Here is a 27,009-nt window from a genome sequence, read left to right as displayed (position 1 = left end):
AGAGAAGAACTTCCTTCTCTCGGGGTTCCGACTCCCGCTATTTTCTTCAGAGCCCTGATACAAACAAAGCAGAGAGGTCTTTCTTTAGCATGCACACGTTTCTCCTGCATCCTTTCTGTGATGTGTTGGACCTCCCAGCAAGTCAGTTGTGTCTGACTGCCCACAGTTAAAAGAGCAAAGTAGGGCTGGCTGTCAGAGCCAAGGCCTCTGGAAAGGGCCCTGCAGAATGGAAGGATCTCTTACCTTTGTGGAAGCATTGTAGACAACGCTTGGACTGGAGGTGGCAACATTATTCAGTAGGACGATAAAATTAGCTGGCTGTTTGTCCATTCCCAAGATTGTGATATCTGTGAACATGAGGTTGTCAGTGTCCATATAATTATTATTTATAATCTTTGCTTGTAGATGGTTCTGGGAGGGGAAAAAAAAGTCAGATTGGAAACCAGGTACTTCAGACCCTTATTATCCCCAAATACCAGTCAATGTCTCAATTTCTGTGATCCAAGCTGTTTCCTTTTCTCTGCAGTTTCAAATGTTGCTAGGTCATCATCCCTAGGGAACTCGTTCACTCAGACTCTTATCAATCTTAAATTTTTAAGTAATATTTCATCTTTGCTTTTGTTCACTGGTTCTTTACTGATTCTATTAATCGGAAAATACGTCCCTGACACTGTAGAATTTTCAAGCAGACGAGATAGGTACTCACACAGTAAACAAAAAGATAAGAGCCTCATTGGCACACAAAGATAAAGACATACACATATACACCAAAAGGGCCCAAGTAATTTTCTTCCTTTTATTTTACTAATAATGATGATAAGAGCTAAGAATAATCTGAGTGTGTATTATGTGACAGGCACTGTGCTAAGCATTTGACATGTATTACTTCATTCAGTTTTCACGGCAGGCTATGAGGTTGAAGCTATAATTACCCTCGTTTTTCAGATGAGGAGACTGAAACACAGAAAATTAAATAACTTATTTAGGGAACAAAGGTGACACAGTTGAGCTATGACAAAGAAGAAGGTAGAAATTAAGACTGAAGAAAAAAGTAGCAGTTTGATAACTTAAAAAATTAGAAGTCGCATACATATATGCCCAAATGATTTTTTACAAAGACAGATTTTTTTCAACAAAGGTGCTGGGGCAACTGGACATACACAGGTCAAAGGTTGAACCCCAACCTAAATCTTACATATTATATAAAAATTAACTCAAAATAGATCACGACTTAAATGTAAAAGGTAAGACTATATTTTTTTAAATGGGAGATAATATTCAGAATCTAGGACTTGGCGAAGAGATCTTAAGCTTGACATCAAAAAGCACAATCTATAAGGAAAATAATGATAAATTAGATTCATCAAAATTAAAAATGTAAATATATAGATGGTAAATAGACATATGAAAAGATGTTAAACATCATTAGCCATCAGAGAAATACAAATTAAAAACACAATGAGCTGTAACTACACACCAATCAGAAAAGCCTAAAAAAATAGTGACAACATCAGATGCTGGCCATGATGCAAAGAAATTAGATCACTCATATGTTGCTGGTGGAAGTGAAAATGGTACAGCCATTCTGGAAAACAGTTTGGAAGATTATTATAAAACTAAACATGCATTACCATAAGACCCAGCAACTGCACTCTTAGGCACTTATTAAAGAGAAATAAAAACTTATGGCCAGGCACGGTGGCTCACGCCTGTAACCCCAGCACTTTGGGAAGGTGAGGCGGGCGGATCATGAGGTCAGGAGTTCGAGACCAGCCTGACCAACACGGTGAAACCTCATCTGTACTAAAAATACAAAAATTAGCCGGGCATGGTGGTGCATGCCTGTAATCCCAGCTACTCAGGAGGCTCAGGTAAGAGAATCTCTTGAACGCAGGAGGCGGAGGTTGCAGTGGGCTGAGATCGTGCCCTTGCACTCCAGCCTGGGCAACACAGTGAGACTCCCTCTCAAAGCAAAACAAAACAAAAAAACAAACTTATGTTCACACCAAAACCTATACATGAGTGTTAGTAGCAATTTTAATTTATTTGTAACAGCTCATGACTGGAGCCATCCCAGATACTATTAATCAAGTGAGTGATTTTTAAAAGGTTCCATAACTTGGAACACCACTCAGCAATGAAAAGGAGCAAGCTGTTGTCACACACAACTTGGATGGGTTTTGAGGGAACTATGCTGAATGAAAAAGCCAATCCCAAAGGTTGCAAGCAGTTTAGTTCTCTTTACAGAACACTGTTGAAAGGACAAAATTATAGAAATGGCGAACAGATGATTGGTTGCCAGGGGCTGAGGAGGGATTGGGGAAGAAGCAAGTGGACATGCTATTAAAGGGCAGCAGGAAAGATCTTTGTGCTAATGAAATATTCTGTATCTCGATAGCATCAATGCCGGCATTCTGCTTGTGAAATTGTGCTATAGGTTTATAAGATGTTACCATAGGAGAAACTGGGCAAAGGGGTATATGGGAACTCTGTGCTAGTTCTTACAATTGCATGGGGATCTTTAATTATCTCAAAATAAAAGAGTTACTTTAAGATATATATTTTTTATACCTTATATATAAATTATATATATTCTATATCTTAAAGTAGATCCATTTTTATATGTATAGGTACAGATACATATATACACATTTAAAAGAAAGGAGAAAAAAGAAAGAGAGAGAGACCGCCTCAAAAGAAAGTTCTGCCCATATATGATCAGGCTTCTAAGAAAATCAAGTCAGAATTCCCTCATTTTCTGCTGGCCTTGCTGCTTTTTCTTCTCTCAGTCCCCTTGGGAAATAGATATGAGGCAAGTGATGTTCTGTATCTTCCAGCCTTTAAAAGCCGCTACTTTATACCCGTGCCAAAGGCCAAGTTTTACGTGCTACAAAGGACAGCCATTATGGAAGAACCTTAAAAATGTGCCATACCACTCACTAACCCACTCACACCTCATATACACTTGCAAACCTCAAAAAAGGCACATCTTGGAAGCCAGCACCCATCACATAAAACTCAAAGGTAATGTTTTTTTTTCCAGGAAAAAAAAAGTTCTGCACAGAACTCATATTGGTTTTGTAGCAGCTTATAAGCCTGACACACATTAAACACTTTCATGTTCATTTGATTCCTTTTTGGAATCATGACAGTAAAACCCTGTCTCTGCTGCACATAACCATGTGTCTATATTAAACTAAAAACTCAAAGAGCCTTCCCAGCAAGGAACATATGCTGTGTGTTCCTCAAACAAAATACTTACAGAGGTAACAGAGAAATCATATAGAATATACTTCTTTTCAGTCACAGCATCTAAAAAAGAAAGAGGAGTACCGGTTACTATGGGAAGCCAATCAGCCAGGGAGTCCTGCTCTTCTCTTCATTTCATCTGGAATTCCTTTACCAACCATCTAGTTCTGCTCATCTGAGTTCTGTGCATTTTTTTCAAACTTCTGCAAATATTTCCTGGACCATTTTCTCTAAATTCACATGTCAGTCTGTGGTACCATTTCGCTGGCATGTAAAACATTTTGATTTGCATTGTATTTATCTATGTGTGCATTGTATCTATCCTGCTGGATCATGAGTTCCTCAAGGCCTACACAATACATACTAATTCCATGTAGGACAGGATTTTTATATAATCACATAAGTTCATGTGAGGTGTTTACATGGAAACCTTACAGTGAAAAGACATACAATACAAATTAGATATTTCTTCCACAAACCAAAGCAGTATTTTCCAAAGCTATTAAAAAGTGTATTATCTGTTATTAATAATTAATATCCAAGGAAGAGAATAATTAAGCTAAATGAAATAATGCCAGTTGCTTTGGTAGAGTCAGTAACACATAATTTGTGCATTTGAAGTCTATTTTAATGCATTGTGCCTGGCTAATGGAATTTTCAGAATGGATTTTAACCCGTTGATTCTCAGCTACAGATGTAAACGACAGTGCTAATAGGGTTAGTGCCATATTGGGCAGCCTATGATGACTAATTTTCAGGGAGAACCACAGTGATCCACAGGGATGGTGCCTTGAGAAAGTCTACCTTTAGATACACCGTCATCCCAGTACAGCTCCCCCTTTGCTTCTCTCTTATAGTCCAAGGCGATGATGAGTCCCAGGGAATTCCTCCGGCTGTAAAAGAGTACTTCCCAGTTTCAGAGAATGTAGATGAGATGGAACTATGTGAAACCAGCCACCTTCATCCCCCAGGGACAGATAATCCAAGAGTCTATACCAGAAACTGAGTAGATGTTGATATTGGGTGGACACATGGGAGCTGGGTGTGGGCAGGCAGCAGGGGTTGATAGTGAGTGGACATAAAGGGAAGGGTGGACAGAGGCAGTTCCTACAGGCAACTGTTTGGGTTGCAATACATAATACCAACAATTAGCCTCATTAGGTGTTTACCATGTGCCAGGCACTCTTCTAAGTGTCCCGCACACATTATCATTTATATTAATTCATTTAACCCTCATAATAACTCTACAAAGTTAAACTATCATCATCTCCAGTTTACCAATAATAAGCAGAAGCACAGAGAAGTAAGTTACCCAAGGTAAACACATCTAGTATGTAGCCCAAACCAAGGCTTGAACCCAGGTTCTGTAGAATCTGAGCTCTTGACCCCCAAACGGTGTTGGCTTCCACGTGATAACCTTTATCTCCTATTTAACTCAAATTCTCTCACACGGTAGGGAATATACCTAAGGACAATTTCTGGCCATAGGGAAATCCTCCTCAGTGATTACTTTGACTAGTCCTATAATCTGATTCAATCCCAAAGTGAAACACTCTGCAGATGTCCTTAGCAGACTACCATCTACTAAATAGGGACTAAGATGCCAATTTTGGATCAATTTTGAAAGGAGTGGGGGAAGATTACTGATGGGTGACTTATCCCTTGGCTCATCCACAAAAATCCCTATTTGTCTTTCTCATAATGCCCTGCTCCATTAGAGCACCAGAATAGTCATACCTTAGAAGAGTAAGGAGCTTACCTGGCTTCTGTGGTTGTGTTTGGCTTCTGAGTGGGAAATATGTAGCCCCCTCGCAGATGAAGTCCTATCTTGTCACCTGGGAGAAGCATATTCACCAACTGTTTCCTCCATGAGATGGCCACTCCCTAATCAGCAACAACAACAAAAGATAGATCAGGTAATAAGCTGTTTCAGCTAGGAGGGGCCTTAGGTATCATCTCATTCAGTTGACATATTTTAAAGAAGAGACAAACAGAGAACCCCAAAGTGAAGTGACTTGCTGAAAGCATATGGGTAGTAGAGGGCAGAGCTGACACTCCAATCCCCTTTATTTATTTACATTACATCAAGCTGTCATTCCACACCTGGGCTTCAATTGCTAGGCTACCACAGCCAAATGACAAAGCCCAGTCTTGATAGCTACACAATAGCCAGGTTGATATAATGAATTTCCATAAACCTACTCCAGTTATTCAAATTATTTCATTGTACATTTGGAAAGGCCTTCTGCTATGGTCTGAATGCTGGTGTACCCTCAAAATTTATATGTTGAAACTTAATACCCAGAGTGATAGTATTAAGGGGTGGGGAGACTTTTGTGAGGTGATTAAGTCATGAGGGAGGAGCAAGGAGGTGCCATCAGTGAAGCAGAGAGGGCCTTCACCAGACACGGAATCTGCCAGCACCTTGATCTTGGACTTGCCAGCCTCCAAAACCGTGAGCAATAAATTTGTGTTGTTTATAAATTACCCAGTGTAAGGTGTTTTGTTGCACCATCCTGAACCAACTAAGATGCCTTTCTCACAGAAAAAGGACCACAATCAACTAACTATAAATCTTGTACTATTATTCTATGGCAAGCTCCCAAGACTGCTGCTTTAGAATTGCCCTCTGCTAGAGGCAGGTCTGTGAGCCAACCAGGGCTGCCTTACTTACTGTCTCATAGTCATACCAGGTGGCATCAGGTATGTATGCTTTCACTTCGTCCACACCCTAGGTAAACAACAATAATGAGTAGCATTAGCATACCCCTCTCTACAGTTTACAAAACACCTCCAGGCATCATTACATGTGCCTATCTGAACAATCCTGAGAGATGGTTGAGATCATCCCATTCTACAAAGGAAAACACAGACACATAAAGGTTGAGCAATTTACCCAAAGCAGAATGTAGCTAAAAATGATTTGTTTTGCTCAATGCTGCTGCACTTTCTAAGAGAAGCAGAGAAAGTCCATTCACTGAGTTAGTCACATAATTTGACAGTTGGGAGGACAGTGAGCCAGCCAGGCCCCAGGAAAGCCTCCCAGCAGGGCCACTGGTTGGTTAGCAGGACCTGTCATCAGATAGTGTGGCTATAACAACAGCTCAAAGGGCCTTTGACATGGCTACACTGGCAATATTTCATGTTTACAAGCAGATCAGCATAATCCTTCCTGATCCTTGTCCCACACTTTGCCACTTACCCCTGCTCCCAATCACACTTAATAGGATACACATGGTCCTTCATAGTTGGACTTCAGAGCATCGCCTTCCCTTTGCCCAGCACTCCTCTCTCCCTCCCTTTTCTTCTCCACAGGTATTCTCTCTTCGCAGCCCAGCCTAACCCAATCCAAGAGCACACCCGCTCTGGACAAAGGAAACTATAGACAGATGTTCAGCACATACACCCCAAAGTATTTAAAGCCATTGTCAATGCTGCAGCCATATGCCTAAGGACTTAGGCTTTAATTTTAAGGCAATTTTACAACATGAAAATTGTTTTGTTTGGTGGGGCAATGGGACCAAGATTTACTACTTTTTAAAAAATTTCTAAACTTTCATGAGCTCTCTCATTTATATTCATATTTTGATATAAATGCAGTCATAGATAGGAACCAACTTATCCAGCTATAGAACCATGAGGACAAGTGCAATACCCCCTTTCATTGTTTAGATGATAAACATACTTCATATAAAACAGGCGTGATGAGGAGTCCAGGTCCCCATAAGAACTGCTCATGCACATCCCACGTGGCTGAGTCCTGGTAGAACCTAGTAAAGAGGTAGCACAGTGAAGGCAGGTGAAGTCTCTAATACAGGACAATGGCACATTATGTAACAACAAGATCCTAACTAACCTTGCTACCACAAACAAAGTCAAGTGAAACTACAATCAGAAAGGGAGTCTTTGAGAATCAGGAAACTCACTCATGTACAAGGGGCCTTGCTACCGTCTCTCCCCGGGTGTGAGCATGGTAGAAAAGGGTATAGAGATAGGGCAGCAAGGTGTAGCGGATGTTCAGATAATGTCTGGAGGATTTCAGCAGCAGGGAATCAACACCAAAGGCAGCGGGATCCTGGTCCTAGGAGAAAATGGAAGGAATGGCTGAATATTTCTTTCCATCATAGTTCAGAAGTTCTCTTACAATAAGTTTCCCAGATGAAACTAGCCACTTCCTCCAACTTGGAGAATATCAAAGCATTTCTAGAACTGAAAAGATACTAATCCTACTCCTTCATTTTATACATGAGAAAACAATATCAAGGATTATATGACTTTCCCAATGTAGAATTGCAAACAAGTGGCAGAGTTTAAATTTGGTGTCTATCGGCCAGGCGCAATGGCTCACACCTGTAATCCTAGCACTTTGGGAGGCCGAGCCAGGCAGATCACGAGGTCAGGAGATGGAGACCATCCTGGCCAACATGGTGAAATCCTGTCTCTACTAAAAATACAAAAATTAGCTGGGTGTGGTGGCACGTGCCTGTAATTCCAGCTACTCGGGAGGCTGAGGCAGGAGAATTGCTTGAACCAGGGAGTTGGAGGTTGCAGTGAGCTGAGATCGTGCCACTGCACTCCAAACTGGCAACAGAATGAGACTCTGTCTCAAAAAAAAAAAAAAAAATTGGTGTCTGTCTTCTGAGGCAGTTTGTAGCAGCCCCAGAGTGAAATGGAAGTCCCACAGGGGTTGCCATGGAGATAAAGTGGGACTTGCTCCCTCCAGGGTTGCTCCAATTTATTTTACATATTGAGGTTTCTCATATTTTATTTGGGAAATAATATAAGTTGTACTACTACTAAAAAAAAATCCATTGCCTTATAAGCCACATTGCCTGCCACCATGGTCTGTAATCCATCATTTCCTTTCCATGTGCTTGTATGAATTTTAATTTTAACATTTTTTGTCCAGTTTTATCTGTAATGTTTCCACCATCAACATTTGTTTTATTTTCCCTATCCCAAAGATTAGTGACCTCTATTTGTTCTTTGACATACATTGTGCAAATAAATTATGACGATGGTTTTTAGCAGATTTTATCCAAGAGTAAAAAAATAACCCATTAGAAGAAAAATCTAATTTTCCATGGACCCAGAGATGAAAATTTTCCGTCAATGGTCGGCATTCATTTTGTTCATTTTCCATATAATTTGGAAGATGTGAAAGACATACACGTCATCTTTTGACTTGTCATCCTATACTGCGTTACTGAGACTGAGTTTTGGATAAAGTTACCTGAACTTTTTTTTCTTTTGCTCCCTAAGAGGCCCATTTCTCCCCCTCTAAATAGAATGACTCCATGAGACCACTCTATGCACCCAGTGTAGGGCTCATGAAAACTCTGAGGCCAAACATTAAAGAGAGTAACACTCCACAGCCTCCATCACCCTGGTTGTCAACTGACAAAAGCCCAGAGCTGTGCTGTCCACTATGGTGGCCATGAACCACATGAAGCTATTGAACACTTGAACTATGTTTATTGAGACTGAGGAAGTAAACTTTCCATTTTATTTGATGATAGTTACTTTAAATATAAATCTTAAAACTGAATCAACGTAAATTTTTTTTCCATTAAACCAACTTTATTGCTTTGGTAGAATTGCATTTTACTTCAACTGCATACAAAAAATCTTAGCATACAAATTGCGATATGCTACAAGTGTAAAATGCATACCAAATTTTGAAGACCTAGTAGAATGAAAAGGATATAAAATAGCTCATTAATAATATTTTGTATTAAACACAGGTTGAAATGATAATGCTATGTAATATACAGACACACACACACATATAGATACACATTGAGCTATATAAAGTATTTTTAAAACAATGTCCCTGTTTCTTTGTACTTTGTTTTTTTTTTTGTTTTGTTTTGAGACGGAATTTTGCTCTCGTTGCCCAGGCTGAAGTGCAATGGCGCGATCCCAGCACACCACAACCTCTGCCTCCCCGGTTCAAGAGATTCTCCTGCCTCAGCCTCCCAAGTAGCTGGGATTACAGGCATGCGCCACCACACCCAGCTAATTTTGTATTTTTAGTAGAGATAGAGTTTCTCCATGTTGGTCAGGCTGGTCTCAAACTCCGGACCTCAGGTGATCCTCCCACCTTGGCCTCCCAAAGTGCTGGGATTACAGGTGTGAGCCACCGTGCCCAGCCTTTTTGTACTTTTCAAATTTAAACTGACATATGTGGCTCTCCTTATAATTTTATTGAATAGAGCTAGTTTAATCAAAAGGACATACGTGCTTAAACCTAGCTTCCTGGGTTATCTGAGTGTTCTTACCTATGTAAGTCTTCCAGGACACAGCTTCATGAAGAGCACCCACCCACCTGCTCCCAGCCACCTGCTTAAGACATTTAGAAATAGTTCATCTCTCTCTAGATCACAAGTGGCCAGAAAAGCCCAGGGATAAAATACTTTGAAGGTTTGACTGTTAATCCTTCCTGGGTTAAAGACAAAGTCAAGAATTGGAGCTAAAATTATCATTAGGAAGTTATTCTAATGAACCTATTAAGAGCTAAACCACTCAATTGGAAATATTTCAACTTAAGATTACTTTATTAAAAGAAAGGACATCTCACCCTACTTGCTTCTGCTACCATCATAAACACCTCCTTAGGGGGGACTTTGAACCCACTTCCATGTACTTGCCCATCGAAAATACTATTTTGGGTAGACGAGCCTAAAGGTGGAATGAGTCATGAGAAGTAGTTGGCAAGTCCTCCAAACTCTTCATAGAAAGGTAGAATGTTGTAACAAGGGGAAAGAAATGTTGAGATCACTGGCCTAAGCCTCTTTAAATTCTTTCTCCTTGTTCCTCCATACCTATGAGGGATTTCCCTTGTATTAACTGAAATAAAATACCAACAAATTCCAATTGTCCTATCCTATATAGGATAGAACAGAAGTCATGGCAGCACCATAGAAACTTTAACAAATCTTCTCACTTTGTTGGTGAGTTTCCAAGAATAAAATCTTTCAGTATATACATATCCCTTCCAATGCACCCTCACCTTGATTGATACCCTGCTTTTTAAGGCTATGATACAAGACTTTTTTATCCTTCTGCTGCAGTTAGTGCCAACCTGTAGTACTATTTTCCTCAAATCCCCTTTAAGAGCCAGTAGATTAGCTAATCCAAAAAGTTTCCATCACTTCTTTTGGTGACCTTACCCTGAACCCAGGCCCATTGTGATTCCTTGGTAGTGGATAAAATGCTCCAAGCTGCATCCACCTTCTGCAGAGCTCCTCTGTGACATTGTTGTTATAACCACAGATGTTGGCACCTACCTGGAGAATTAGCACACATACAAGCACTGTGGTCAATGAGAGGCGAAAGCATGTAGTGAAGATTTATATGATAAGGGAAAAGAGAACCTCTTTGTCACATCATCCCATGCTTAAGGAGATCCCAGAGTCACAGGGCACACTCCCAGCCAAAGGAGAGAAACAAGATAGAATCCATCACGGACTTACTGATAGTGCAAACAATGGTCCTTGTGTTGAGGCTGTTCCTTAATATTCAGTTCCCAATTTCATACTTTCTTATTTACTAATGCTCTCTTGATGGAATTTTCCTGTGATACTAATACATTTTATTCATGCTGTCTCCTTCCTATCTTCAGAGATTCCATGGATGACAACTCAGTGATAAAGTACTACCATTCTATCTTCAGAAGGCAGCTCACGTAACACATAAAAATTGATCTTTCCAATACATATCACCTTGGAACATGATCCTTGGTTTTTCAGATAATCTCTAAGACTGCTAATTAAAAGAATGTCAACAGACAAAGGGTTAAAGTTCCCTGGTTGGAAATAAGGCTCACCATGGGGATGCCAAACAGGTTGAACTCAAGGATAGTGGGGATAGACCATCGGAGGTCATCCCATGTGGCCGCATTGTCCCCCAGCCAATGAGCAGCAAATTTGCCAGATCCAGCAAAAGTAGAACGGGATAAGATGAAGCTCCTATTATTCATGAAGATGGTCTCCAGGGCTCTGGAAAGGAATACATCCAGTGGAGTGTGAGGTGGGCTGTGAATGTCTAGGACTCACCTTACAATAAGAGCAGCAATGGACTTTCTAACCAAACTGAGAAAACAACATGAGGGTGTCATAAACCAGGTGTCATAAACTTAGTACTATCTAAGAGCTTCTTTCCCATTTTGGGGTAAGATTTCAGATCTCATATAAGACAGTACAAACCTCTATATTCTAGCCCCCATAGCAATTTCTCTAGGCTTCCGTTCCCCGATTTTGTTTTCTCTGTCTAGTTGGATCTGGTTGTGGTCTGGTCCTTTTGGTCAACAGTATATTGGAACCATGATTTGAGTTCCTTGTCCCATCTTTTTTCTAATGTCCTTTGGTTCCATGAATTTCTGCCATGCATAATCCTGTACAGCACAGCACCTGCTCCGATGGGAGCTCTGCACCCTCTGCTGGACTAAGAGGAGAGTTCATGCACCAGCTGGTACACCTCTGAAACTTCAGAACTTATCCCTGGCTTCCTCTGAAACTTCAGACTTATTCTTAGCAATTCTCAATGTTAGCAAATTTTAATCTATGCAAAATAAGAGTCATTGAAATGAGTAAGTCTCAAAAGATCGCATCTGATACTTTCTATAAAGTTAAAAACAACTAACATAGAAAATATTATTTTCATTGTATTATAAATAAAATATTACATGTTACGTAAAACAATATAGAAATGAAAGCAGGCCGGGCGCGGTGGCTCACGCCTATAATCCCAGCACTTTGGGAGGCTGAGGCGGGTGGATCACGAGGTCAGGAGATCGAGACCAACCTGGCCAACATGGTGAAACCCCATCTCTACTAAAAATACAGAAGTTAGCTGGACATGGTGGTGTGCGCCTGTAGCTCCAGCTACTCATACTCAGAAGACTGAGGCAGCAGAATCGTTTGAACCCAAGAGGCAGAGGTTGCAGTGAGCCAAGATCGTGCCACTGCACTCCAGCCTGGGCGACAGAGCAAGGCTCTGTCTCAGACAAAAAAAAAAAAAAAAAGGAATAAAAGCAAAGAAATTAAAAGCACAGAATTCAGAATGGTAATTACTTCAGGGGCACAGATGAACATACAGTGGGGTGACCTATGGTTGGATGTGGGCTGTTTGCCTAGCTTTTATTCTGGACACCTTTTGAATAGGCATTTTATTGAAATGACTCTCCTCTTTTCTTTTTTCCCCCCTGTGGTAAAAAGCCCACATCTTCCATTAGAATTATAAAATTGAACAATAATACAATTAAAGGACAGTAAGACCTGAGCCACGCCACAGTTTCTGCCAGCTCTTCGCAGGCAAGCTCTTCTTTCCCGCTTTCTAATACATGGTCTGAGACAAGTGTATCTTTTCCTAAAACCTCTCTCTGCAAGTCTTTATCACCAGGCACCAGGCAATTCCTCAATACACTATCACAGTCACCAAGGCCTCCTCACTTCATTTTCCTGGGAAGTTTGGAGAGTCTATAAATACTGAATGGCTTATAATGGCAAAAGGGAGAAAATTTTGAAACGGAAAACTGCTTTAAGAAAGTAAAGGGCTTCATTCTGACAATTTACTGTCAAAAATAGGGGTAGGTTGGAGGAGAGGACTCACTCAACTCCTATCCCCACTTCTACTTTAATGTAGACTGGCCGACACTTTGCTTTTATTACCACTGGCTGCAGGTTTATTATACTCTGCAGTAATCAATCATGAAAGAAACACATTCAGCTTACACAGAGTGAAACCAAAACAGGGTTGAAGATATCTGTGGTTCCAGTTTATTTAGAGGCAGGCTGGTACTGTGGTAAAACAGATTAGATAACTGCTGGGTTTTTTTTTTTTTTTAAACATCTTAAAGGAACAGTCTTACTCAGAGGCTTTGTATTTTCTGTCTTTTAGTTTTCTCTTTTCTATCCCCCAGGTCTGGCCAATTTATAATCAGGTTGTGATCACTGAAAGACTCTAGTCTCCTTCGGCTTTCAGCCTAGAGGTGGGGATAATTTTATTCCTGGTTGGCCCACTGTCCCCAGACTATACTTCCATTTAAGGTTGAGCCAAATATTTATCAGACCAATTACTTTAGTTCTTCTGATGTCCAGATCCCATTGAATGAAAATGTTATCCATTTTTTGATCCACTCTGCCTCATGCCCAAAGACCAAGTTCCACTTATCTCCACTGTCCTCTGGGAGCGTAGGCCATTATGCCTGGCCAGAGAAATTAGAAAGACACCTACTATTTGCTCAATCACAATTACCTTTTAACTATTAACCATAACTATTAGAATATATTAACCAACCCATTCTTGATTTATAGCACTTTTACCACATGGAGTCACGGGCAAAAAAGTAATTTGAAACTTTCTTCCCCTCCTCCAACCCTTTCTTACTCTTTCTTACCCTGACTACTCACTCTGTTTCCCATTTCTCATTCTTAGATAGAAGCATCTAAGAATAAAACTATATCAGAACAGGAGATTATGGGAATACCAATCCGAGTCTCATTTCAGAGATGAGGAAATTGAGTCTTATTTATCCAGTTTATTTCTCAGGAAAAATAGAATGAGAGAGAAAAGACAAAGAGAAGATAATGAATCAGAAATATATGTCATTCTTCCTAGAGGTTTTCTTTTTTTAACCAAAATACAAACTTTTACATTTTCTGGACAAGAACTCTCATCTGGATAATCTAATGTAATGCAAAGTCATGAGGACAAAATAGTGCTGGAAAATAACACCGACCCAGTCTCTGCCTCGAAGTCATCAGGTCCCCTAGGTGCTGGGTCCTGCCCTTCCTCTCTCTCTCAGGCCAGGCATTTATCCAACAAAGTGTCTTCAGTACACACTCTATTGATAAGGCTAAGGATATGGGCTGACTTTGCCCTCAAAAAGCTTACAGTCCAGCAGAGAGAAAATTAGCATCTAAAATTTGATACCATGTTTTTTGCATACTAAGCATATTGGAATATGAACAAATGTGGCACAGAAAATGGGAAATAATCTTTTCCTAGAACTGTCAGGAAAGTTCCCAGCATTGAGATTGGAGATGAGGTTTTATAGATAAGCATATTTTGCAAAATGGACAGGGTAAGGAAGGCCATCTTGTGCACGGCAAATAGCACATGAAAGGCATGGAAGAATGAATAGCACTTGGATTTGGGAACAAGAAGATGCAAAGGTGAGAGAAAAATTGTAAGAAAGGGTTCGATTATAAAGTACCTTATAGGTTATGCTAAGAATTTCACTGTATAAAAAATAGCAAGGCACAAATAATTTTACACTGGGGAGAGAAATGAGCAAACAGTGCTTTAGAAAGGTCACTTTCTCAGGAATGTACAGCAGTGCTTTCTAGATTTTAACATACGTTCAATACACCCAGGGATCTTGATAAAATGCAGGTTTTGATTACTAAGTTCAGGGTTGAGGTCCAAGATGCTAATGTTTTCTGGTGATGCTGATGCAGCTGTTCCTTGGACTATGCTTCAAGTAGAAAGGGTAGAGGGTAGGTTACTGGGAGATAAGGGTAAAGTCAGGGAGATTAGTTCTGGGCCTAGTGTAATGATTTGTGTGAGGGATGATGATAACCTAATTAAGAAGTATTAAGGGGGGAAAATGGAGGTGGTTACAGAAATGTTTCAAAAGTAACATCAAAAGGATCAAGGACTGATCGTATGTGAGGGCACAAAAGGCATAAAAGATGGCTTCATGCTTCTCACTTGAGAGTCTGGGATATAGGGATGCTGTTGCTACCAACCAAGATACAGAATTTAAGAGTTTCAGCCAGGCGTGGTGGCTCATGCCTGCAATTCCAGCACTTTGGGAAGCCGAGGTGGGCGGATCACCAGAGGTCGGGAGTTTGAGACTAGCCTGACCAACATGGAGAAACCCCGTCTCTACTAAAAATACAAAATTAGCTGGGCGTGGTGGCGCATGCCTGTAATCCTAGCTACTCAGGAGCCTGAGGCAGGAAAATCGCTTGAACCCGGGAGGCGGAGGTTTCATTGTGCTGAGATCGCGCCATTGCACTCCAGCCTGGGCAACAAGAGCGAAACTCTGTCTCAAAAAAAAAAAAGAATTTAACAGCTTCAAAAATGATCAGCTACAGTGGGAAGATTAGGTGAAAACAGGTAACAGAGCAAGGTGAATGCTATTTGAGGTACTACAAAACATCCAAGTAAGGCCGGGCGCGGTGGCTCACGCCTGTAATCCCAGCACTTTGGGAGGCCAAGGCGGGTGAATCATGAGGTCAGGAGATGGAGACCATCCTGGCTAACGCTGTGAAACCCCGTCTCTACTAAAAAATACAAACAATTAGCCGGGCGTGGTGGCAGCTGCCTGTAGTCCCAGCTACTTGGGAGGCTGAGGCAGGAGAATGGCGTGAACCCAGGAGGCGGAGCTTGCAGTGAGCCGAGATCGCACCACTGCACTCCAGCCTGGGCGACAGAGCGAGACTCCGTCTCAAAAAAAAAACAAAACATCCAAGTAGACAACGTCAGAAGATTGTTTTGGATATTTGTGTCTAAAAATTAGGTAAACATCTCAGGTATAATTATAGATTTTAAAATCATTAGAATTAATTACAGTGAAAACCATGAAAAGAAATAAATTACTTATAAATTACCTATGTGTTGGCATAGACTGTAAAGAGAAGAGGCCAGAGGATGGATTCCTAAGAATCATCAATAGTGAAAGAGCTGATGGAAAAGATCCAGGCACACAGATGAGAGGGAACAGCTGGAAAGAGAGCAGAGGCACCAGGCAGAGAAGTATCTTTTTTTATTTTTTTTTTGAGACGGAGTTTCACTCTTGTTGCCCAGGCTGGAGTGCAATAGCGTGATCTCGGCTCACTGCAACCTCCGTCTCCCGGGTTCAAGCGATCCTCCTGCCTCAGCCTCCAAAATAGCTGGGATTACAGGTGCGCCTGCCACCACACCCGACTAATTTTTCTATTTTTAGTAAAGACGAGGTTTCACTATGATGGCCAGGCTGGTCTCAAACTCCTGAACTCAGGTGATCTGCCCACCTCAGCCTCCCAAAGTGCTTGGATTACAGACGTAAGCCACCGCACCAAGCCAGCAGAGCAGTATCTTAAGGACTGAAGGAGCTAAGTTTAAAGGAGTGGTTATGGCCTTGAGTACCAAGGAGAAAGAGAAGTCAAGTAAGAAAAGGACTGAGACAGGCCCCATAAACCCATCAAAGTCTCCCTGTCTTGTAGAGCACAACAGTGCTCTAGAAACACCAAAACAGGGGGAAAGAAGCCGAGAAAGACAAAGATGCTCTTTCCTAAGCCACTGGAGGATCCACAGCAGCTCTTTAGTTTCCGCATCTGTGCTGCAAATTCAAATTAAAATCTTAAGCCTGGCCCCAAATTTTCTTGCTCTCTTAGGTATAATGATTGTATTGTACCATCTTCCACAGAAGAAACTACACAGTGAGAAGAGGAGTTATTTCTCAATTTACTAAGTCACAAGTAAACAATCTACATGACAAGATATAAAGGATGTTATGATTTGCAGAACACATTTGTCTCCTTGGTAGACTTTCATAATGGGTGGTGGTGGCAACAGCAGTAAAGGTGATGGTGATAGTCATGGTGGTGATGGGGATAGTGATGATGGTGATGGTGGTGGTAGGGATGGTGGTGGTGGTCATGGTAGTGGTGGTGGTGATGGTAGTGGTAGCGGTTATGATGGTGATGGTGAATGGTGGTCATGGTGGGTGGTGGTGATGGTGATAGTGATTGTGGTGGTGGGGGGGATGGTGGTGATAACTGTGGTGGTGGTGATGGTGATAGTAGTGGTAGTGATGGTGGTGGTGATGGCAATAATGGTGGTAGTAATGGTGTGGTTATGACAATGGTGATGGTGTTAGGTAATGGTGGTGGTGATGGTGATAGTTGTGTGTGCACGTGTGTGTGCATGTGTGTGTGTCTTAGGGCAGAAGGGAGAATTATGAGGTAGACAAGCAGGACATTGGGAAGGAAATAGAAGGATATGGTGTAGCATTTCCAGATAAATAAAGGAAATACAGGTAAATTCAAATTCCAAATAAACAACAAGTAATTTTTAGTATGAGAATGTCCCACACAAATTTAATTTGGTGTCCTGTATTTTTATTTGCTAAAATCAAGCAATCCTAGTGCATTCAGTAAAAGGATCCAAGCAAGAGCTGACTTCTAGCTGAGGACTCTAAATGCCTTACATAGTATTGCCTGCTAGTATCCTTGAAATAAGCTCCTTAGCCATAAGCTAATCAAAGATAATCCTGTACAGAAACCAGGGTGTATATGAGAGGAACTCTTAAATACTCTGTAAGAACAGTTTTTCTATTTCTATAAATGCAAAAAATATTTGAACAATATATTACATATAGAACAGAAGAAAAACCTCCACCTCCACCTCCCACCTCCACATATCTGGAATTAGGGTGAAAACCAAGTCCTTACAAGTTTGTGGTTCTTGCCATGGAGTGGCCATACAAGCTGTGGATGTCATAATGAAGGCCCCCATGAAACTCCGTGTCCATGCAGAGAGTTCTTGCAAAAAGTAAGTGATCCAGAACTCCTGGAGGGAAATACTCATTAGTGAGGCACTTCCTCATTAACCATCTTTAACAAATTAGCGGCCCAACTATTTTCTTCCTGATTACTGTACCTTCCCCACCAATCTCCACCTGACCAAATCCATTCCAGATTTTAAATTCTATCCTAAATGCTATTTCCTGCCTGGGGCTAACATTGAGACCTCCAAGGAGATGGATTATTAAAATTAATCTGCATTCCCTTGAGCTCACAAAGAATCCTGGTGAGGGGAGGCAACTGAGAAACATGCTCAGAGCAAACGCAGTGGATCTGAGCCTAAGTATAAAGCATATAGTGTTTATCTACATAAATTTAATCAAGAGAAATTGAGTGTACAATGTATAGGTATGAAGGCAGAGAAAGGGAACTTTTTCTTTTTTATAATACAGTCACACTTAAAAGAAAAATAGAGGCTGGGCACAGTGGCTCATACCTGTAATCCCAGCACTTTGGGAGGCCGAGGCAGGTGGATCACCTGAGGTCAAGAGCTCAAGACAAGCCTGACCAATATGGTGAAACCCCGTCTTTACTAAAATTACAAAAATTAGCCAGGCATGGTGGTGTGCGCCTACAGTCCCAGCTACTTGGGAGGCTGAGGCAGGAGAATCACTTGAGCCCGGGAGGCGGAGGTGGCAATGAGCCGAGATCGTGCCACTGCACTCCAGACTGGGTGACAGAGCGAGACTACATCTCAAAAAAAAAAAAAATAAGATGTGACATTTGGACATTTGGGTAGTTTGACAGTTTGATGTGTAAGTACTCAAATCCTACCTCTGAGAATTATTGTTTGCATTTTCCCTTCCTCAAGCCTGAAATGGCCAGTCTTCTCTGCCACTTCCTCTCCTTGTGAACTCTTCACTGGGGCCGTATCTACCTTCCTTCACAAAGTCTTGCCCATACCTAGGACCTGAGTGTGAGGCACAATTCCAGAAAGTGGTGGGACCAGGAAAGACTGAGGTTGAGTTTTTCCTACGCAGTATAACAGAATCAAGGTTTGGAGCTGGAAATTAAGTTGAAATGTAAGATGGGAAGAAAATTCTATTTCTTGCACAGCTTGGTGTGTGGCATGAGATTCACAACCACTTCAGTGCTCTTTCTCATGCTAATTAATGTGCACTATGCAATCCTGGAAAGGGGAGGGGCTGCCTGGCTATGAGCAAAAGTGGCCGTGTCCACCACAAGCAAGCAGAAAGTGATAGGATTGAGGTTTTCCATAGGGAAAAAAAAAAATCAAAAACAAAATTTAGTTTTGGCCAAAAAGAGGATTGAGAAATTAAGAAAAAAAAAAAAAAAAAACATGATAAACTAATCCAGAGTGGAAAAAAAATGGGGGAATCCAGACAGAGCAGAGAAGAACAAAGAGTAAGTCGAAAAAGCAAACAGTAGATGTTGCAAGAGGTAAAGACTTCCTCCAAAAAATTATTTACTCCTTAAGTGACCAAAAGGAGTTAAAGAAACAGCTGTACCTTGGTCTCAGGGGTATAAGTAAAGTGGGCAAATCAGAATACACTGACTGTTCGGGTGCCCAACATGTCAGTGTTCTCTTTCTGGAAATATAAGAAGATTATACCTTCCCTTGAGGTTAAGCTGAGGCTACATGACCAGATTCTAGCAAAGAAATGTGGGCCAATTGGGTACACCTTCCTTCTAGGCCTGCGCATAAAATCTTCTCCACCCTCTCTCTCCCTCACCCAGGAAGCCAGAAACAAAGGTCTCTGAGGAGATGGGAGAACCAGACATAGATCCGAGTCACCACTTGGATTCAAGTCACCCATCCCTCATCAGAGTATGATGTGAGCAAAAAGTAAACGATTATTGTGTTAATCCACTGAGATATTGGGGTTTATATGTTGCCAGAGCATAGTGTATTCTATACTGCCACTGCCACCCGCCACCTCCACACATATTCTTTCAAAATCAGAAACTGGAAAATTGACCTTGACTAGAAATGGGACCTATAAATGGGACCTTGAAGGCACCACTGATGCTTTAAACTGTTGTAAATGATCAGAGAGAGAGGGAGGAAGGGAGGGAAAAAAGAAAAAGGAAAAAGGGAAGAAGGAAGGAAGGGAGGGTAAGGAGGAAAGAAGGAAGTAAAGAATAAAGAAAACAGTTAAGAAGATTACAGGTTTACTTCAGTTTAAGGTAGTCTGTATCCTGAAGTGTCCTGAAATTCTCATAGATTTTAAAATTGACACCTGAGGGATTTGGGGGAAATGAACAGGATGAAAGCATTTTGAATTCTAGACTGGAAGGGCAGCCAGGGGAGGTAGGCAGGCTCAGACTTTGTCACATGCTTGCCCTGGAGTTATGACAGCAAAAGGGTAATCAGAGACCCAACACTGCTGCAGAGACTTCGGCAGAGGAGTGCTCAGGATGTTTAGGAGACCCCTTGGACTAGGAAGTGAAATTGCTCCCGACCACACTGAGTATTACTGAGGGTGTTTTAAACATGGCTTATTCCTACGTCATAGCAAACAGGTGAAAACTTACTAGGAAGAAAAGGAGGAAAGTTCAAGTTGTTGGATTCACACTGGTTATTAGAAGCTTGGAGTAAGCTAGATACTTCATTCATTTCCTTCAAAGACACAAAACACACAAAGTGTAAAATGCGATTGAGCTACATTTAGCTGTTGAGAAACGCTTACTGAACTAGGAGCCAGGATATCTGGGTCCCTTATCAACTGCTTTTTGGATTTTAAATAATCTCCCTAATTTTTCTTACCCTCTGTTTCATCTTTTATAAAATTGAGTCATTGGATTAGGTTATATATTTTTAAGGTATGTTCCACTTCTAAATGACAGTGGGCACATTTTTACTTTTTATAAATTGATTTCAATCAGCTAATTCAGAAATACCATTTCAAAGGTTGATCCTTGCCTTACAAATTGTAAATATTTATTGTTATTGTTAAGAACCTAAGATAAACTAACATTTCTATTGTTAACTGTCCCTATCCTTTATTCCTCTGAGTGAGGAACAGTAAGAGAATATAATTAAGATCAAATCTATTTTCTTACATGAATTAAAAATAAGTGATGTCTAATCTTGGCAACAAACAAATATTCTTTATCATTGCACATCTTATTCATCAGAGTGCTTCCCAAATGGCTGCTCCAATGCCTTGCACATTGGCACTCAGAGAACATTTGTTGAAGAAATTCCTATTGTTCTTCCATAAAAATACGAGACCCTCATTAAATTATTCTCTAATGATTAATTTAAATTTTTATGAATCAATGCTACAAATAGTAGCAATTATAATACTGTTTTAATAAAACAGTATTTTTAAGCTGACAACCAGTTAATGGAGAAAGCAAAAACTTTATCAAAATGAAATAACCAGTTGATGAAAGATGCAGGATAAGAACCTAAGGCTCTTAGGAGCCTAATTCACTGGATATAGACTCAGCCTTAAGTAAAATAATTTTGAATACTACTACATAAAGCAAACTATTTTTTATTGACATTTATTTGACATCAAGGTCAAAACTCATCTGAAAATTTGGCGTTATCTGTTTCCAAAGGAAATTTGAGTCAGGAATAATAACTTACAATCCACACTCCATCAAACTCCAGATGATCATGAAATTTAGCGACCTGATCTGTCCACCACTCAGTGCATACTGGATTGGTATAATCGGGAAAGACTGTCGGTCCCGGATATCCCTAGGACACAGAGGAAGGCAGTGGCAATCAGCTTGGTTGAAGGTTTTTCATTTTGACCGACAGTGATTTCTTCTACTAGGAGCCTCATTTTGCTGTCATTTTAGAAATAAAATGTGTGACTACCCCAACAAAAACTAAACAATAAAATGCATACAAGGAACAAGAGGAAAAAACAATAAAAGGAAAAGCAACAGAGTAGATCAATGAAAAGCCACCATAAGTCCTTTTCTGTGCAAAAGAAAATTTAAAAAGTACAACTGCATTATGTCAGGCCAGTTGGGAGACAAATTGTTTAAAATACTAGAAAGTCTATATATTATTTTTCAAGAGAATGAACTTTTTTCAAGTGTTGTTAATTAAAGGTCACATAAAGTCTACTTTGAATAAGTATGATTATAAATAATGTGTTGATATTTTTGGCATATAAGCAATATTTTATAAATGGTTGAATGAAGTTTGCGCTTCTTACTCAGGTCATTTTTTAAATTCTACCTCCCTTTTCTGTCTATGCCTATCAAACAATAGCTTTAAAGATTGTCCACAACAAAGATATAACCATAGCCAAATTTTTGAAAATTCTTAATTAAAAGGATACCAGTTTTTGTAAAAAATTTTTGCTCATTTTCCCTATAAATTTATAGATTGTAATTTAGGAACAACTTTACACTCCGGGAACATAATGAATACATATTTTGAAATGTGGATACTTCTCAAAACTCAAGATGGGAGCTTGAAATACCCACAGTAAATGGATTGAGCTCCTGGCTCTTTGTTTTAGGCGATGGGCATCAACTAACAATTAGATGTTAACTCTGCACCCCAGGAAACAGGTGGTGTCACAAAACAGTCACCTACAGCAACATTCAACCTAGAGCGAGCCAGCAAATTTTATTCAACTAAGTGCATTTAAAACAAACCACTGGACTGGCATGGTGGCTCACGCCTGTAATCCCAACACTTTGGGAGGCTGAGGCAGGTGGATCACGAGGTCAGGAGTTCGAGACCAGTCTGGCCGAGAGAGTGAAATTCCGTCTCTACTAAAAATACAAAAATCAGCCAGGCATGGTGGCAGGCACCTGTAATTCCAGCTACCTGGGAGGCTAAGGCAGGAGAATCGCTTGAACCTGGGAGGCAGAGGTTGCAGTGAGCTGAGATCGTTGCAGTGAGCTGAGATCGTGCCACTGCACTCTAGCCTGGGCAACAGAGCAAGACTCCATCTCAAAAAAAAAAAAAAAAAAAAAAAACACACACCACTATGCACCTCCACTACTGCTATCTCTGCCAACATCTTAGATTAAATGATTCATGCCATTTATTGGTCAATGAAGTCAACTATCTAATTCATTATTTGTAATTATATGCAAATTCTTAATTATATATCACTCAAATATGAGTACTATTGAAATGACTCATAAGTGTGGATAAAATTTTAGGTGAGCAAAATAATTTTTATTTGACTATGGACTCTAAATGCAGTATATAAATATGGGCTTATCTAATATTTTAGAAACTAGCTTCTAACGAAACAGTAAAAGCAAAGACTTGGTGTGCAGAAGGAAGAAAACTTTCCTACTGCTTCATGAAAAGTTAGAATCAATGAAAAAAAAGTAAATAGAATTAAGCATCGAAAGAGTCAATGAAAGGAATTAAGTGGGCAGATTTTGGTAAGGGATCATCCATAACCCTGAAAAGACAGTTTCGCAAAATAAACTACTCAGGAGCAACAAGATCTGCAGTCACGTGAACTCTCTAGATGAAGCAACAATTTGAGTAAATCTTACAGAATCCAATCATCTAGGGCTGACCCTACATATAATTGAAATTGCCTATGTGATTTGATTTAAAGTACTCTCAGAAATTTAATTATCCTGAATATAGGCCCCAGCTCAGCCTATTCCACTGCCTGAGTCTGCTACCTCAGAATCAAAACTATGCTCTATCTATAAGTCTTGTGTAAATTTAAAATATAGGTTAGGCATGGTGGCTCACACCTGTAATCCCAGCAGTTTGGGAGGCTGAGGCAGGCAAATCACCTGAGGTCAGGAGTTCGAGATCAACCTGGCCAATATGGAGAAACCCCGTCTCTACTAAAAATACAAAAATTAGTCAGGCATGGTGGCGTGTGCCTGTAATCCCAGCTACTCGGGAGGCTGAGGTAGGAGAATCACTTGAACCCAGGAGTCAGAGGTTGCAGTGAGTCAAGATCATGCCATTACACTCAGCCAGGGTGACAAAAGTGAAACTCCATCTCAAAAAAATAAAAATTAAAACTTAAAAAAAATAAAATATATTAGCTGAGATCAGTTCCACATTAATCTATGAGCATCTTGCTATATTTTTGTAGTTGAATTTATTGTCTTGGGAAAGAGAAATTTGGAGGTGGGAGGGCTTTAGGTAACTGATTTTTCTTCTAGTTATATATTGCTTCTCAATTATCTATGGTATTAGAGGATCAAGGCTAGCTTTTTAAATTCTTCAGGTTTTTAATCATTCTATTATTATATCTACTGGTTTAAAATAGTAATAAAAGAAACCTCTAAAGCCATGAAAACAGTAACAATATTGTAACTTGCCTTTCACTCATCTTCGTACCAAAAGTACAACTCCCCAAAACAATCATAATTTACTTTGATTTTCTTAAGAAATTACCTCCCCAACAGCAAAGCCATTGCTCCCCAAGATCCACACTCTCTTTAGGCTTCCATTATTATAGGGCTCGTAGTTAGAGTTTTTGGAGATGCCAGGATTCTAATAAAGAAATACGATATAAATATTATTTTCATAAATTTTTTGCACTACAAAGGAAAAAATAAGGTAACAAGTGTTTGAACATACCATAATAATAAGATATTTCTGTCCATTGTCATGTAACTCCTTGACAAAATCTGGGAGACCAGAGTAAGCGACTTCATCAACAGTGAAATCCTTCTTTCCATCCATGTAGTCTATGTCAGAGTACTGGACATCCTGAAAGAGAGCTCTGGTCAATCAGAACCTAGGAAACAGCACTGTGCTGATGGAAAGTATTACAGCTCTGGTTCCTGACCATTGAAAATGAAACCATATTTTCTAATGATCCTGGAATTTCCAGGGCTTGGCTACTTCTTAGGAGAAAATAAGCTATCTTTGAAAGACATGATTGCTGTTTGGTTGCTGTTTTACCTCCTTGTCCTGACAGGTGCATGTCATAAGGTATTGGGAGGGACTTGAGAGCAGGAATTGCATCTTGTTCATCTCTTTAACTTGAGAGCTTGGATGCTTGACATAAAACAGACGCTCTTTAAATGGTTGTTTGAATGAATCATATTATTAATGTTATAACCATGTACTAACTTAACCCAAGCATCAAGCCAGAATATATCATATGAGGAGAAAATGATCTTTTGCCCTACGAAAGTGCTAGAGTAATGATTAACACAGATCAATGACAAAAAGATAAAGCCTTATCAACTAAACTCTCATGCACACATTTTTCCTTGTGTTTGCATATCAGCCTAGGGAGCAGGTGTTATTCTTAGTGAGCAAATTGAAATGTAGGGGAGTTCAGTGACATTTCCCAAAATACATGCACTGGGAGGTAGGGGGGCTGATGAGGGCTTTGGGGACAGGCTCTTTGGCTTCAGATGCTCTTTTTTTCCCCAATCTGCCACCTTCCTCAAAGACAAAGGAAGTGTTCTTCTAAGTGTTCCTCAAGTATCATACAGTAGGAGTCTCGACCTTACAGGCCTGAAGGAAAATGTGGCTTATGGCCTGTTGCCCAAAGTGGCATCAACTGTTCTAATACTGAGCAGTCATTTAGGACCCACGTGTCCTCCACAAACAAATGTAGGGAAAGATTCTATTTGCGGAAGAAAATTCTTCCTGGAATTGGATGTTTGCAGATAATAGATATGGGAGAAGTAAAATTAAACACAATCAATTCCCCTTTGACACCAAAACACATTGACCATCTGTTTTTTTTTTTACAGGAAAAATTGATCCCCCTGCCTGCCCTCATCACTACTCTGAGAGGGCATTGAAGAACCCTGAAAGCAGGCCAAAGCCATGTCCATATGTTCAGTCTTCCTTCAGATGTTAACATCATATTCTTTTTTTTTTTTTTTTTTTTTGAGATAGAGCCTCACTCTGTCACCCAGGCTGGAGTGTAGTGGCGCGATCTCAGCTCACTACAACCTCTGCCTCCAGGTTCAAGTGATTCTCCTGCCTCAGCCTGCTTTGTAGCTGGGATTACAGGCATGTGCCACCACACCTGGGTAATTTTTTTGTATTTTTAATAGAGACGGGGTTTCACCATGTTGACCAGGCTAGTCCGAACTCCTGACCTCAAGTGATCTGCCCGCCTCAGCCTCCCAAAGTGCTGAGATTACAGGCATGAGCCACCGCACTGGGCCAACACTATATTCTTACATCAAAGTTTCAAAATCCCAAAGAGCTACCCCCAATAAGTTGTTTTGATAAATTCATTAGCCACATGTTATGCATCTCCTGGAGAAGATCATCAAATATTACACACTTAATAATTATCTTGACTTACTGGTGGACATTGAACATCATAAACACTGATGCAACCATGAAGCTTCAAAATTAGAGTTTATCAGATCTGGGAGGAGTATATGAGGTCACCGTGAGAAACTCATTTACTGTAAGTCATTATAATCATCAGCTCTTGTTCCTCATGTCACCTCCAGTGTTGCTTTCTCTAATAACATAATAGCTAACTTTGATGATGTTCACCATCAGTGCTAGATGCTTCAACATGCACAGTATAAGGCATTCCTTACTACCAGCCCACCAAAGTAAGTCTTACATCCTCATTCTATAAAGGTGGAAACTAAGGCTCAGAGATGTTAATTAACTGGCGCAACATTGCACAGAGCTATGAAGAGGTAAAGCTAAAATTCAAAGCCACCTCTATCAGGCTTCATTAACAGTATACTTTTCATGCTCAGATACATAACTTAACATGCAAATTTCTGCCAGCAAGTGTGCCTGTCTATCAATCTAATGATTTATCTACATTTTTCCTAATACATTGAATTTAATGCAAAAAATAAAAATGGGAATTGGTGTCAACTGCATGGTAAAAGAAGTTTCGACTTACATATGGTATCTCAGCTAAACGATTTCGGCTTACAACTTCTTTCAATTTATTGATGCCACCATAGTCCCTGCGACTAAGCTGGAACCCAAGACTCCAATAGGGAGGGAAGAATGGCCGTCCAACAAGCTGAAAAGATAAGTAAGTGTGTAGGCTTTGAGAATAACATTAGCCCCATTTCATTTTCTGTGAAGTTCCCAGAGCTGAAAACGTCAGAGCTAAGAGTAATCTGCTAGAATAATTTGTGAAATTCCACAATCACATCCTTCTTTACTAAGTACATAAATGTATTCCCAACATCAGATCAGACACTAATAAAATTTGCAGAAAATGTTTCAGTAATGGTGTCATCTTAGGGGAAACTGGTGACATTCATTATTCTATAAGTGTTTTTCTGAATATTTGTTCACAGT

At 40.2% G+C, this 27,009-nt stretch overlaps 1 protein-coding gene across 5 annotated transcripts in view; it reads right to left on the bottom strand.

Annotated features, from left to right (window-relative positions):
- Positions 1 to 27,009, bottom strand: part of MGAM2 (maltase-glucoamylase 2 (putative)) — a 110,607-nt gene that overhangs the window by 57,058 nt on the left and 26,540 nt on the right. For 4 of the 5 annotated variants that reach the window (XR_927547.3, NM_001293626.2, XM_024446997.2 and 1 more), the window contains 15 exons: positions 26,600 to 26,725; positions 24,334 to 24,465; positions 24,148 to 24,246; positions 21,385 to 21,498; positions 20,322 to 20,406; positions 17,694 to 17,811; positions 11,078 to 11,249; positions 10,422 to 10,538; positions 7,176 to 7,330; positions 6,935 to 7,019; positions 5,924 to 5,980; positions 5,009 to 5,133; positions 4,054 to 4,142; positions 3,263 to 3,312; positions 244 to 411 (listed from right to left, as the gene is read on the bottom strand). Coding sequence is in view for 4 of the 5 variants with exons in the window: in NM_001293626.2 (NP_001280555.1) it covers positions 244 to 411; positions 3,263 to 3,312; positions 4,054 to 4,142; positions 5,009 to 5,133; positions 5,924 to 5,980; positions 6,935 to 7,019; positions 7,176 to 7,330; positions 10,422 to 10,538; positions 11,078 to 11,249; positions 17,694 to 17,811; positions 20,322 to 20,406; positions 21,385 to 21,498; positions 24,148 to 24,246; positions 24,334 to 24,465; positions 26,600 to 26,725 (1,692 nt within the window). In the remaining variant the exon portion in view is untranslated. Of the gene's footprint in view, positions 1 to 243; positions 412 to 3,262; positions 3,313 to 4,053; positions 4,143 to 5,008; positions 5,134 to 5,923; positions 5,981 to 6,934; positions 7,020 to 7,175; positions 7,331 to 10,421; positions 10,539 to 11,077; positions 11,250 to 17,693; positions 17,812 to 20,321; positions 20,407 to 21,384; positions 21,499 to 24,147; positions 24,247 to 24,333; positions 24,466 to 26,599; positions 26,726 to 27,009 lie in introns of those variants that run through there. The other variant, XM_011516693.3, reaches the window with a different exon arrangement.

The sequence above is a fragment of the Homo sapiens genome, chromosome 7 (assembly GCF_000001405.40).
Source record: "Homo sapiens chromosome 7, GRCh38.p14 Primary Assembly".
Lineage (NCBI taxonomy): Eukaryota > Metazoa > Chordata > Mammalia > Primates > Hominidae > Homo > Homo sapiens.
This window is presented reverse-complemented; position numbering and strand designations above follow the sequence as displayed.